This window comes from Homo sapiens, chromosome 3 (assembly GCF_000001405.40).
Source record: "Homo sapiens chromosome 3, GRCh38.p14 Primary Assembly".
Classification (NCBI taxonomy): Eukaryota; Metazoa; Chordata; class Mammalia; order Primates; family Hominidae; genus Homo; species Homo sapiens.
In genome coordinates, this window is record NC_000003.12 from 9,122,862 (window position 1) to 9,136,205 (window position 13,344).

Here is a 13,344-nt window from a genome sequence, read left to right on the forward strand (position 1 = left end):
AGGAGTTTAAAGGCAGAGAGCTCCCTGGCCAGAGTGGAATGCAAAAAATGTGGACAGGAAGGTGGACGCGACCCAAGTGTCCACCAACAGATGACCAAACAAACAAAATGTGGTCTATCTGCACCATATTATTCAGCCTGAAAAAGGAAGAACATTCTGACACATGCTACCACAGGGATGAACTTTGAGGCATTATGCTAAGTGAAACTAGCCAGTCACAAAGAGACAAATATTGTATAATTGCACTTATATGACATATCTACAGCAGTCGAATTCATAAAGACATAAAGTAGAATGGTAGTTGCCGGCAGCTGGAAGGCGTGGCAGGGAATGGGGAGTTAGTGTTTAATGGGGATAGAATTTCAGTGGAGGAAGATGTAAAAAGCACTGGAGTTGGATGGTGGCGATGGTTGCATAACATTGTGAATGTGTTTAGTGCCACTGAACTGTTCATTTAAAAATGATGAAAATGGTAAATTTTATATTATGTGTGCTTTGTCACAATTAAAAAATATATATATATATATACATACACAATACACATACATACACATACATGGAGAGGCCGGGTATGGTGGCTCACATCTGTAATCCCAGCACTTTGGGAGGCTGAAGCAGGTGGATCACTTGATGTCAGGAGTTCAAGACCAGCCTGGCCAACATGGTGAAACCCCATCTCTACTAAAAATACAAAGATTAGTTGGGCGTGGTGGTGCACGTGGAATCTCAGCTACTCAGGAGGCTGAGGCAGGAGAATCTCTTGAACCCGGGAGTTGGAGATTGCAGTGAGCTGAGATCATGCCACTGCACTCCAACCTGGGTGACAGAGTGAGACTCTGTCTCAAAATATATATATATATATATGTATATATGTGTGTGTGTGTGTGTGTGTGTATGTGTGTATATATGTATGTGTGTGTATACACAGAGAGAGAGAGAGAGAGAGAGAAACAGGACAGGACCCAGGGGAAGGGGGATCAGGATCAGGTCAGGTGAGATAAAGCAAGTCGCTGATCTCCTGGTGTTGAGGGCCACCAGCTGGAGAGATGACCCAAGGAGAAGGGAGAGTCCAGGAAGCATGGCTGAAGGAGAGACAGTGCTGGCCGGGGGACCTGCCAAGTGGAGCCCTGCATGGTTGACACAGTCCAAGTGAGATTTGCTGCTTCCTGCCTGCCTGTATTTAATGAGCTGAAGCCAGGGAGTTCTAAGCACAGAAGGTTTTGTAGCTGGAGGATTCAGGACCTGCCAAGTCAATGCCCAAGCAGATGGAGCCTCCATGATCTCAGAGCTTGGGATATGAGAAATCAGGACACATGACAGTTTGTGCATCGAAAATAAGTAAATAAGGCAGGGAAAGAGCCGGGGCACTGAGGTCCTCCAGGAGAGCAAGGAAGAGGAATGTTTGAGCATCAATTCCATGGAGAAGAAATTCACTGAGCTAACAAAATTCAGAAGAAGGCTGGCTGACACCCAAATAAAGGACAACTGGATCGGGACAGGATGTCCTGAAGGGAGGTAGGGGTCTCACCAGGGCACAAATGGAGGCTAGCTCAGTGCCGGTGCTTGGTAGCATAATAATAACAGCAACAATTGATTGAGCACCTATTGTCTGTGACAAACACTCTTCTTGGGTTGTTCATTTATTCCCTTCAGGAAACTTCTGCAGAGGAACTCTTTCTAGCTTCCCTTTACACATGAGGAAGACTGAGGCTTGGAGGTGTAAGTAACCTGCAGAGCCAGGGCCCTGAAGGCACACCCTCTGCCTCCAATGAAGCTGGCTGGCCTCCTTTCTGCTTTGCCACCAACTGTCCGCCCACCCCAGTGCTGCCTCCCATCTCTGTGCACCCATACCCAACTTCTTACTTGAACTGGTGCTCCCGGGAGCTGCGGATTTTGGAGGAGAAGCGCTCAGCCAGCTTCTCCAGGCTGCGGGAGTACTCGAGCTCAATCTCAGCTTTCCGGCGGAAAAACTCCTGGAGGTCTTGAAGCAGCTGCAGTCGCGACTCTGATTGCTGCTCCAGACATTTGAACTGCTCCACCAGCTGCGTGCGGATCTCTGCGGGCACACAAGGGTAGGAGCATGAGACTGGTGGTGGGGACGGGGGCACTGGGGCCCGCTCTGCTGCTGGCCTGGGCCCTGCAATTCAGGCAGCTCCCTCCTAACACCATCCAGAGCCTCTCTGAGCCCAGCCAGAGCTCAGACCTTGCTTGGCAGAGCATTGGCACAAAGATTTCTCTCTTGCTCGTTTTTGCCATTGATCTAACCAAAAGTTTCCAAAACTTGAATCACTGCATGTCACCACCACGATTTTTGCCATATTCACAGGCCCCAAGCATTCTTATTTCTTCCACATGATCTAGTAAATTGACTCACCTTTCTTACGGAGATGATCTTGCTTAAAATGCAAAGGTTTCTATCAATACAGTAAAGTGAAACACTAGGACCCCTTGCAGCCTGGGACGTAGGAAATAATTCAATGAAAACAAAAGTATTGTAAAATTCTATCTAGAGACAATTGTTTACCAAAGGCTCTAAGCCTAAGCTGCTGGCTCTTTATCAACCAAAGGAAAACGGCAGTGTGACTTTCTCCATGTGTAGTCAGGACTGAGAGAGGGCTGAGAAGGGCATGCTTTTCCCTCGTGGGTTTCAGTGTTATTTAAGGCCACATCTGTGTCCTGCTTTAAATCACCTTGAATTCCATGTATGAACCTCTCAGATATCACACTTCAGAAAATACTGATTGCTCAAACCAGATCTACGCAACCAGGGCAACAATTCAAAAGCTGGAAGCTGGAGTTAAAAATCACAGCTGAATGCCAATAACCACATCCATTCTTGTCTTCAAGCCTGTAGGGTTGTCACCGCCACTGCCCCCAGGCATAGATTCTTTCCAGGCCATCCCAAGAGCTGCTCAACAGATCAGCCTCCAAAGCACTCTGCTCACACCAGCAACGTGCTCAGAAATACCCCACGGCTCCCCTCTGCCTGAGTATTAGGTCCAACTCCTCAGCATGACATTCAAGACCATCCACCAAGCAGTCCCAAATTTCATTTCTCAGGACTTTACCCCAATGGACTCTCCAAACCATTCAAGCCAGTCCTTGGAATATCAGATCTCACCTGCCTAAATGTGTGCCCCGTCTGAAATGGTGGCCAGCGTCATTTCAGCATCCTTCAGAGAAGTGGACTTCAAACTGGGGCAGAACTACTCTGGGGTACACAAAGACACCCCACAGGGTATGCAAGCTGAGGTAGAAGGGAATCAACCTGAGATCCTCCACATCCATTCCCACTGCCTGACAACGTGCCTCAGTCTAGATGCACGGCCCCTCTCCTTTCCTACCTCCCCTCCTCACAATGGTCCTGTTCTCTCTTTACAGGAAAAAGAGCAACTGCTCACTCGTCCAGAATCTATGATGCAGTGTCCCAAAATGTCGAGACATCTGGGTGTCAAAAGGAAAAATAGACCATTTAAAATGTTCATGTTGGCCAGGCATGGTGGCTCATGCCTTTAATCCCAGCACTTTGGGAGGCCGAGGCGGGTGGATCACGAGGTCAGGAGGTGGAGACCATCCTGGCTGACACAGTGAAACCCTGTCTCTACTAAAAATACAAAAATTAGCCAGGCATAGTGGCAGGCGCCTGGAGTCCCAGCTACTCTGGAGGCTGGGGCAGGAGAATCACTTGAACCCAGAAGGTGGAGGTTGCACGCCATTGCACTCCAGCCTGGGCGACAGAGCAAGACCCTGTCTCAAAAACTAACTAACTAACTAACTAACTAACTAAATAAATAAATAAATAAATAATGTAAAATGTTCATGTTACACATGTTCTCAGTTATAAGTGGGACCTAAATAATGTGTGCACTTGGATGTACAGTGTGGAATGCTAGAGAACAGAGACTCAGAAGGGTGAGGGGGTGGGAGGGAGGTGGATAATGAGAAATTACTTAATGGGTGTAATGTACATTATTTGTGTCATGGGTACCCAAGAAGCCCTGGCTTCACCACCACACAATCTATGCATGTAACAAAATTACACTTGTACTCCATAAATTTATACGTAAATAAATACATGTACAAAGTTATATTCTCTTCAAATAATAAAAAGTGTTTTTAAAAAGTTGATATTTGGAAATCTTCCTCTAATCAAGGGATCACAAACCCTTGCTACTCAAAGTGTGGTCCATGAGACCACGTCTGTCATCACAGCACTTTGAGAGGCTGAGGCAGGAGAATCACTTGAGGCCAGGGGCTCAAGACCAGCCTGGGAAACATAGGGAGACCTCGTCTCCATAAAAACTTAAAAAAAAAAAAAGTTTTAAATTAGCCAGGTGTGGTGGCATGGGCTTGTGTTCCCAGCTACTCAGGAGGCTGAGGCAGAAGTATTGCTTGAGCCCAGGAGGTCCAGGCTGCAGTGAGCTATGATTGTGAAACTGCACTCCAGCCTATATGACAAAGCAAGACTCTGTCTCAAAAACATTAAAATGTGGTCCACAGACCAGCAGCATCAGCACCACCAATGGGCTTGTTAGAAATACAGAGGCCTAGGCAATATAACAAGACCTCATGCCTAGTAAAATTTTATTGTTTGTTTTGTGTTTTGAGACGGAGTCTCGCTCTGTCGCCAGGCTGGAGTGCAGCGGCCCGATCTCCACTCACTGCAACCTCCGCCTCCTGGGTTCAAGCGATCCTCCTGCCTCGGTCTCTAGAGTAGCTGGGACGACAGGTGCGCACCACCACACCCAGCTAGTTTTTTGTATTTTTAGTAGAGACGAGGTTTCATTATGTTGGCCAGGATGGTCTTGATCTCTTGACCTCGTGATCCACCCGCCTTGGCCTCCCAAAGTGCTGGGATTACAGGTGTGAGCCACTGCACCCGGCCTAGTAAAAATTTTAAAAAGTAATTAGCTGGGCATGGTGGCACATGCCTCTAGTCCCAGCTACTTGGGAGGCTGAGGTGGGAGGATTGCTTTAGCCCAGGAGTTCAAAGCTTCAGTGAGCCATGACCATACCATGATGCTTAGAGGGAACTCCTGTAATGAAAAGAAAAGAAAAGAAAAGAACAGGTGAGGAGAGAGGAGGGGAGGGGAGGGGAGGGGAAGGAGAAGAAATACAGAATCATCCAAACTCATCAAGATGCATAAATTAAATGTGCTCATTTTTGGGGCATTTCAATTATACCTTAAAAAAGCTAAAAAAAAAAAATTCAGAATAAAGTCTCAGGCCCCAGCCCATACCATCCAAATCAGAATCTGCATTTTATCAAGATCTCCCAAGGTGGCCCTTGTACACCTTAAAGTTTGATAAGCACTGCCATCAACCATCCCGCCCATCTCATTATGAGAAGCATTTCCCATACAAAGTTATGCTTTAATGATTTATCAAATGTGTAAAATAATGTTATTTTGATAAATTGTGTATTACTGATCACTGCAATGATACATAAATCAATATAAAAGGAAGATCCTTAGAGTTCAAAGGAAAAAATTAAAATGTCCATTTCAGCTTACATAAGTAGAGTTTTAAAAAAGATGATAATCTTAAAAAACTTTCAAGCATAAAATATGTTAAGATTAAATTTTATGAAGCAAGTGAAAGGGAATTAGGAGTTCAAGAAGGTAAAGAAAGGAGCAGTGTAAAACATTTGACTTGTTCAGGTAACTTTGATGGATGATTGTAGAAACCAATGTATTATGGTATTTATCCTATGACCGGGCAATTTCACTGATGGATACATACACAAAAGAAATCAGTGCTTATGATCACCAAAAAATATATACAAGAATACTTTTAGTATCTTTATAGCCAAATATTAGAAATAACCCAAAATGTCTAGTAAGAATAGAATGGATTTTTTGAATGTGAGATATTCATTGAGTGGAATGATATACAATAATGAAAAAGGAATGCTACTGCTCCCAACAGCAACATGTTTGAAATCCACAGATCTTGTGTTTATTGAAAGAAGCCAGAACGAATGAGGTTGTGCAAAACTAGTTTATGGTGATAGAGGTCGGAAAAGTGGTCACGTTTGACGGGTATTGATGGAGAGAGGGAACAAGCATGGCTTCTGAATACTGGAGATGTTCCACACCTTGGTGAGGGTGGAAGGGACACTGATAAAAATTAACTGAGCTGCTCACTTAAGATCTGTGCATTCTACTACATCAAAGTGAGGCTTCAATAAAAAGACAAAATTTAAAATTGCTATGTTAGTTTCTATTTGACACATTTTTAAAAATTTTTTGTAGAGACAGGCCTCTTTATGTTACCCAGGCTGGTCTTCAACTCTTGGGCTCAAGCAATCCTCCTGCCTTGGCCTTCTAAGTAGCTGGGACTAAAGAGGTAAGCCACCCCACCCATCCCTCCCCACAACATTTTGATACAGTTTTAAGAGAGTGGTATTATACATAATGTTACTCTAAAATGTGAATATTTAAAACATGGCCAAAATTATATCCTTTGTAACTAATCAAACTTAGAATAAAATATTTTATTTTATTTAGTGCAAATTAAAGAATGAGACATTTTAGATGTCAACTTAAAATGTGTGAAGCAGAAGAGATATTTTTCTTTCCAAAGTTCATGTAGAGGGTAGGTAAGCAAAAAAAAAAAAAAAAAAAGTTGAAAACCACTGCTTCAGAGCCCACATAAAGCACTGCTCCTCCCAGGAAGGCCTGGGCTGCCAGCCTGGTGACCCTCTTTTGAACTCCCATGGCACGTACAGCAAATCTCAGATTGCCTAGCGCTGTTTGGGTTTTTTTGTTTGTTAGTTTTCATTCTTTCATGCATGCCATCTCTGCCTCATCTCCTCAAATGAAATTTAAGCTCTGAGGGCAGATTCTCCCAGCACATAATAGGTCATCAGGATATCAATATCTGTATAGCAAATTACTATTTCCCTTTTTTTTTTTTGAGACAGAGTCTTGCTCTGTCGCCCAGGCTGGAGTGCAGTGGCGCCATCTCAACTCACTGCAACCTCCATCTCCCAGGTTCAAGGGATTGTCCTTCTTCAGCCTCCCAAGTAGCTGGGATTATAGGCACCGGCCACCACACCTGAATAATTTTTGTATTTTTAGTAGAGACAGGGTTTTACCATGTTAGCCAGGCTGGTGTCGAACTCCCGACCTCAGGTGATCTGCCCACCTCGGCCTCCCAAAGTGCTGGGATTACAAGCATGAGCCACCACGCCCAGCCTACTATTTCCCTTTAGCAAGCGCTTTTTACCAAGTACATTAAGTGTTGTGATTATGGAAGCCTCAGCTCACACACACACAAACAAACATATGGCACACACATTCACGCCACAAATACATACAAAACACACAACACATACCACACACAACACCACTCACCCCCCACACATACATACATTCAACGTGGATGTATAATAATGAAGAAACCAAGGCTTTACGTAAACCAAGATCAGGGACTCATCCAAGGTCACACGTCGTTCTCTGAACTCTAACAAACTACACAGGTCCCCTCTTAGATGGTCTACCTGTTGAACTGAACTGTATTGAGGTGCCTCACTCCCACAAGACCAAACCTTGTCATATCAACACACAGTCATAAAAATATAACTATGCAGTGAGTGCTACTAGTGTTTCTCCACTTTTTCCCCATAGACAAGGAAGTAGCAGCTCAGGAGGAAGTCGCTAGCCTGTGCTCCTAACAGCTGGTTCAGAGCAGAGCCAGCAATCAAACCCAGGTCCCTCAGAAGCTTACCATAATGCCCTTGACATGATGCTAGACCGAGGCCCCTACAGGAACTTCTTGGTCTGCATTCCATGAATTATCCTTGTTTTCCATATTAAAACAAAACAAACACAAAAGACACTTTTAATCCCTCTGTATTCAACCTCTTGCATTCTTTTTGTAGCAAGATGGTGATCTAAAGAGATATTATTTATTAGAAAAGCTGCAGCCACAGCCTTCCTCATTACAGAGCATTATCAGGAGATGACATTCTCATATTTTAGAGGAAAAGCTCATAAATCACATCGTGATGACAGCAGACGATTTGGAAAGAGCAGAGCAACCTCCCCCAGTTCACACAACCAGCTGGAGCCTCCCAGGCTGGGCTGTGCATGGAACCCTCCAGCAGTTTGCCGGGCTCAAAATCAAGTCCTTCTTGCAGGAAATGGCCCTGGCAGAGCATCCTCTGCAGCCTGCCCTGATCTGGAACCCTGAGGGCATTTGATTACCCATCTCATTATTTCTAATTCCCATCCAAGTTGCTGCTAGGAGCCTACGAGCTGGCACAGATTTGGGTTTTCTCCTTGAAGATTTCAAAGAGAGAAAAATAAAATAAAATAAAACAGAATTGTTCCCAAGGCACAGACTTCATTCAGCAGACGTTTCCCCCCCGGGGGACAGTTCCAGCCATAACACAGAGCTGAGTGGCAGAAAAATTAAAAGGGGGATGTGGCAAGGAGGGAAAGGGGTTGGAAAGAGGGACAGGCTTTGAACTCAACACCTGAAAGCTGAAGATGACCTCACTGCATGGTGCAGTCTCTTGGTTTTATAGACAGGGGCATGAGGCCCAGAGAAGGGGAAGATCTAATTCTTTTTTTTTTTTTTTTTTTTTTTGAGATGGAGTCTCACTCTGTCACCCAGGCTGGAGTGCAGTGGTGCGATCTCAGCTCACTGCAACCTCTGCCTTCCCAGTTCAAGTGATTCTCCCACCTCAGCTTCCCAAGTAGCTGGGGACTACAGGTGCACACCACCACGCCCAGCTAATATTTTTGTATTTTTAGTAGAAACGGGGTTTCACCATGTTGGCCAGGATGGTCTTGAACCCCTGACCTCAAGTAATCCACCCGCCTCGGCCTCCCAAAGTGCTGGGATTACAGGCATAAGCCACTGCACCCGGCCGTAAGAACTAATTCTTCAATCCAGGTCTCCTAAAGCACCAATCTCCCTGTGTCACCCTCCTGATAAAATTCTCCATGGTTCCCCATTGCTTATAGGATCAAAGCCAAACTCCTCTGACATTCAAAGTCCAAGAATGCACAGCCTGCCTACCCATCCCCATAACACTCCTGCTCACTCTCCAAGCAACAGTCTTACTAAAGATCACTTTGCATGCACCCAGGCTGCCACCTATGGCAAACAGCCCGTGTGACCCACCGTATGGAGAGCAAGATTCCTCATACTCCCCACTGCTCCTCACAACCACAACCTCACCAGCAATAGTAGGAAGATTCTTCAGATCAGTCTTTTTTTTTAATTAATGGGCTATTTTTAGAGCCATTTTAGGTTTACCAAAAAATTGACCAGAAAGTACAGAGAGTTCCCATATATCCCCTCTCCACTGCACAGTTTCTCCGATTATTAACATCTTGCATTCCATCGTGCATTTATTGCAATTGAAGAGCCAATACTGACACACCAAAGTCTGTCACTTACATTACGGCTCACCCTTTGTGTTGTACATTCTCTGGGTTTTGACAAACGTCTAATGTCATGTGTCCACCATTACAGTATCATACAGAATAGTGTTGCCACCCTAAAAATCCTCGTGCTCCACCTATTTCGCCCCTTATTCTTCCCTCTCACTTACCCCAACCCTTGGCAAACCCTAATCTTCTTACTGTCTCTATAGTTTTGCCTTTCCCAGCATGTTATACAGCTGGAATCATAAAGTATATAGACTTTTTAGAGTGGCTTCTTTCACCTAGCAATATGCATGTAGGGTTCTTCCATGTCTTTTTGTGGCTTTGTAGCTCCTTTTTATCACCAAATAATATTCTGTGCTACGGAATAATGTTGACAGACTGTTTATTCATTCCCCTATTTAAAGACATGTTGGTTGCTAATTATGAATAAAGCTGTTATGAACATCTGTATGCAGGTTTTTGTGTGGACATGTTTTCAACTCATTTGGGTAAATATCCTTTTTGAAATCAATAGACTTTATTTTTATAGCAGTTTTAGGCTTACTGAAAAAAAGGAATTACATTTTTAAATAGGAAATATAGGGTTTTTTTTAATATTACATACACAACTGAAAAGGTAGAAAGGGTATATAAAGTTTTACTCCCACCTCTATCAACCACCTAGTTCCCCTCTCGCAAAACAACCAAACTACCATGATCGTGTGCATCATTCCAGAAATAATGGCATATATATAAAACATATATGTTATATAGATCATATTATTTATATTATATGATATATTATATAGATCTATATATAAGAGAGAATATCTATATATAGAATTTACATATATAGAATGTTAAATATATTATTTCCTCTGTTTTTATACATGTTAGAGCATATCATTCACAGTGTTCTGTACCTTATCTTTTTCTTTTAATAATACATCCTGGAGGCCGGGCACAGTGGCTCATGCCTGTAATCCCAACACTTTGGGAGGCCGAAGCAGGTGGATCACTTGAGGTCAGGAGTTTGAGACCAGCCTGGCCAACACAGCGATACCCTGTCTCTACTAGAAAATACAAAAACTTATCTGGGCATGGTGGCGCACACCTGTAATCCCAGCTAACTGTTAGGCTGAAGCGGGAGAATTGCTTGAATCTGGGAGGTGGAGGTTGCAGTGAGCTGAGATTGTGCCACTGCACTCCAGCCTGGGCAACAGAGCAAGACTCTATCTAAAAAAAAGTAATAATAATACATCATGGAGATCAGTCCAAATCATTATATAAAGAACTTCCTCATTCCTTTTACAGCACACTAGAATTCCACTGTAAGTTTTTTTTAGCCAGTCTCTTTTGCTGAACATTTAGGTTGTTTATAATCTTTTACTATCATCAACAATGCTGGAATGAATAATCATACACAGGCTTCATTCTGCACATGTGCAGGAATATCATCTATATAATAAGTTCTTAAAGCAACATCACATAAGGATATCAAGACTGCTAAACTGCCCTCTCCTGAAATTTTACCAGTTTATACTACGATGAAAACTTTAGGACAAAGCAGGAACTATTTAGAAGCAGACATGCTGGGATTTGCTCCAAAATAGCCTTAGGTTTGGAGACGGGGAGTGGTAGGGTTTTAAGTAAAATAAGACTGGCCTTGAGTTAATCATTAAAGTTTAGTTTAGCGCTAGGTATCAGGAAGGGGCTTATTATACTATTCTCTCTACTTTTGGAATGTTTGAAATTTTTCATCATAAAAAAGGGAGAAAAAGCAGATAAAGCCAATGCAAATCCTGCACCTCTGGTTAACAGGTCTGACCCATTAGGAACGCCAGCAACTTGCCCTTGGAGGCCTCTGCCCCTTGCCTGCACCCTTGGAGGCCTCTGCCCCTTGCCTGCAGATGGCTTTCCTGGGTTAGTAAGAGGGGCCAGAGTATGACAGCAAAGAGCAATTTTAAATGTAGCTTCCCAGACCCCACCCAATTCCAATCTTTGGACCCTGTCCTGAAAACACAGTAACTGTTCTGGCACCTCCTGGGATGGAGAGGCACCACTCACAGTCTGCATACATCCTGAAAACCAAGATCAAGGGAGCACTTGCCCCCTCTGCTCCACAGGGGCAGCTGGTACCTTCCCAGTGTAAATTTTTAGGAGCCGATAAAGATGAACCACCTGGTATGTTACAGCCAACAACATCTCATCACATCTACGCACAATCACATCTGATTATCATGACATCCTATGAGGCTGGTAGTATTGCCACTCCTCTTCTACGGATGAAGCAATTGAGATTCAGGGAGGGGAAATGGCTTGCCCAAGACCACCAAGAAAGTGGCAAAGCCAGGGCTGAAACCGAGAGTAAAGGGCAGACAGGAACTAACATCACCCAATGCCCAGGTCAGGGAACTTTCTGTGGCAGTCCTGCTGCCTCCTCTTTCAAGGATCATGTCCTGTTGTACCTCCTGTCTCCACTCTCAGTGGTCATCTTTGTGCCATCCACACAGAGCACCAGTCTGGCTGTCATTATATGCATCCCAGTGCATCCTGACCCTGACCTCAGGCCCTCCTCTGAGGAGAGAAATCTCAGCTTCATAGCACAATGTAGCGGGCTCTGGGTTCACCTGCCCGGTGGTTCAAATCCTGGCCCTGCCACATGCTCAGGTGGGCAACCTGAGACTCAGTTTCCTCTGTCAAATGGGGATGATAATAATCTCTACCTCATATTGTTGTGAGAATGGTATGTGTTAATGCAAAGGAAGTTCCTGGCATAGTGCTTTCCATATATTGGTACCATATTGTCCAACACAGTCGCCACTAGCCACATGTGGCTATTTGCATTTAATTAAAATAAAAAACTCATTCCTCTGTTGCACTTGCCACATTTCACGTGTTAAACCATCCTGGACAGTGCAGAATATTTCCATCATTGCAGAAACTTCCATTGGACAGCACTGCGTCAGAGGCTTTATAAAGTTAAGCTATGATTATCATTTATTATAACTTCTTTCTGTGGCCATTTCTCATCTCCTTAAATGGAAAATATGGTCCTGAAAGGCAGGGATGGCACTATGTTTTATTACTCCGAATTTGCGCACGACCTCTCCAACAAGAGCAGTGTAATGGAGTCTTCCAAACCCTCCCCTCAAGAAAACATGATGATGGAGACTCACTCTCCTTGCTCCCAGCCCAAAACCCAGCATCCTGGTGGGGTCCCTTGCCCTCCAACTCCAGCCCTAGCGGAGATGATGTGGCCCAGTGGATAGACCCAGCAGAGCCTGGACTCTGGAGCCACTCTCACAGGGTTGATTATTGTCTCTGCCGGATCTGCACTGTGAAGCCTTGGGCAGTCAACTCAGTATCTTCTCTGAGCTGTCTTCGGATTTGTAAAAGGCAAGTAAGTATTCTTATCTTGCAGGGTTGTTGCCAGGATCAGACTGGAAATAATGCACATGATGTGCCAGGCACCTGGTGGACCCTCGGCGAATAGCATCTATACAGAGGTGGCATGGCGCAGCGGAAGGGCATGCACTCACAAGCTCACAAGTTCTGAGGACAGTCAGCCTAGGCTCCAAATCTGGTTTTCTCCACTTTGGGGAAGTGGCTTCAGCCTGGTCTCTGTTTTCTCATCTGTAAAATAGGGAATAATACCTTCCCCCCTGGGGTTGTTAAAAGGGTGAGGGGTGGTATGCGCGTGGTGCCTGGGGCACTGCAGGGACGCAAGAAATGAGCCATGGCGGCTGCTGTAGTCATGGACCGTGAGCACCAGGCACGCTGGGCACCGAGCTAAGTGTTTCCCAGGCGCCATCTCGCGCCCCGCGTCCACAGTCCCACAAGGAGGGCTGTGTCACCAGCCACCTTCTTCCAGCCTCTCTGTGCTGGTTCCCCTTCCCCGCCCGCCCTCCTCGCAGGCCTGGCCCACGTTTCGCTCCTTCTCTAGGCCCTGCACAAAAGA

General features: G+C 44.7%; 1 protein-coding gene and 1 long non-coding RNA gene across 15 annotated transcripts in view; one reads left to right on the plus strand and one right to left on the minus strand.

The window, feature by feature from the left end:
- Nucleotides 1–13,344, minus strand: part of SRGAP3 (SLIT-ROBO Rho GTPase activating protein 3) — a 382,437-nt gene that overhangs the window by 142,271 nt on the left and 226,822 nt on the right. For all 14 annotated transcript variants that reach the window (XM_024453843.2, XM_047449335.1, XM_047449333.1 and 11 more), the window contains one exon: nt 1,864–2,056. Coding sequence is in view for 13 of the 14 variants with exons in the window: in XM_047449335.1 (XP_047305291.1) it covers nt 1,864–2,056 (193 nt within the window). In the remaining variant the exon portion in view is untranslated. The remainder of the gene's footprint in view (nt 1–1,863; nt 2,057–13,344) is intronic.
- Nucleotides 1,370–4,123, plus strand: LOC124909343 (uncharacterized). The gene is made up of 2 exons (XR_007095815.1): nt 1,370–2,072; nt 3,382–4,123. It is a non-coding gene; the product is annotated as an uncharacterized LOC124909343 (long non-coding RNA).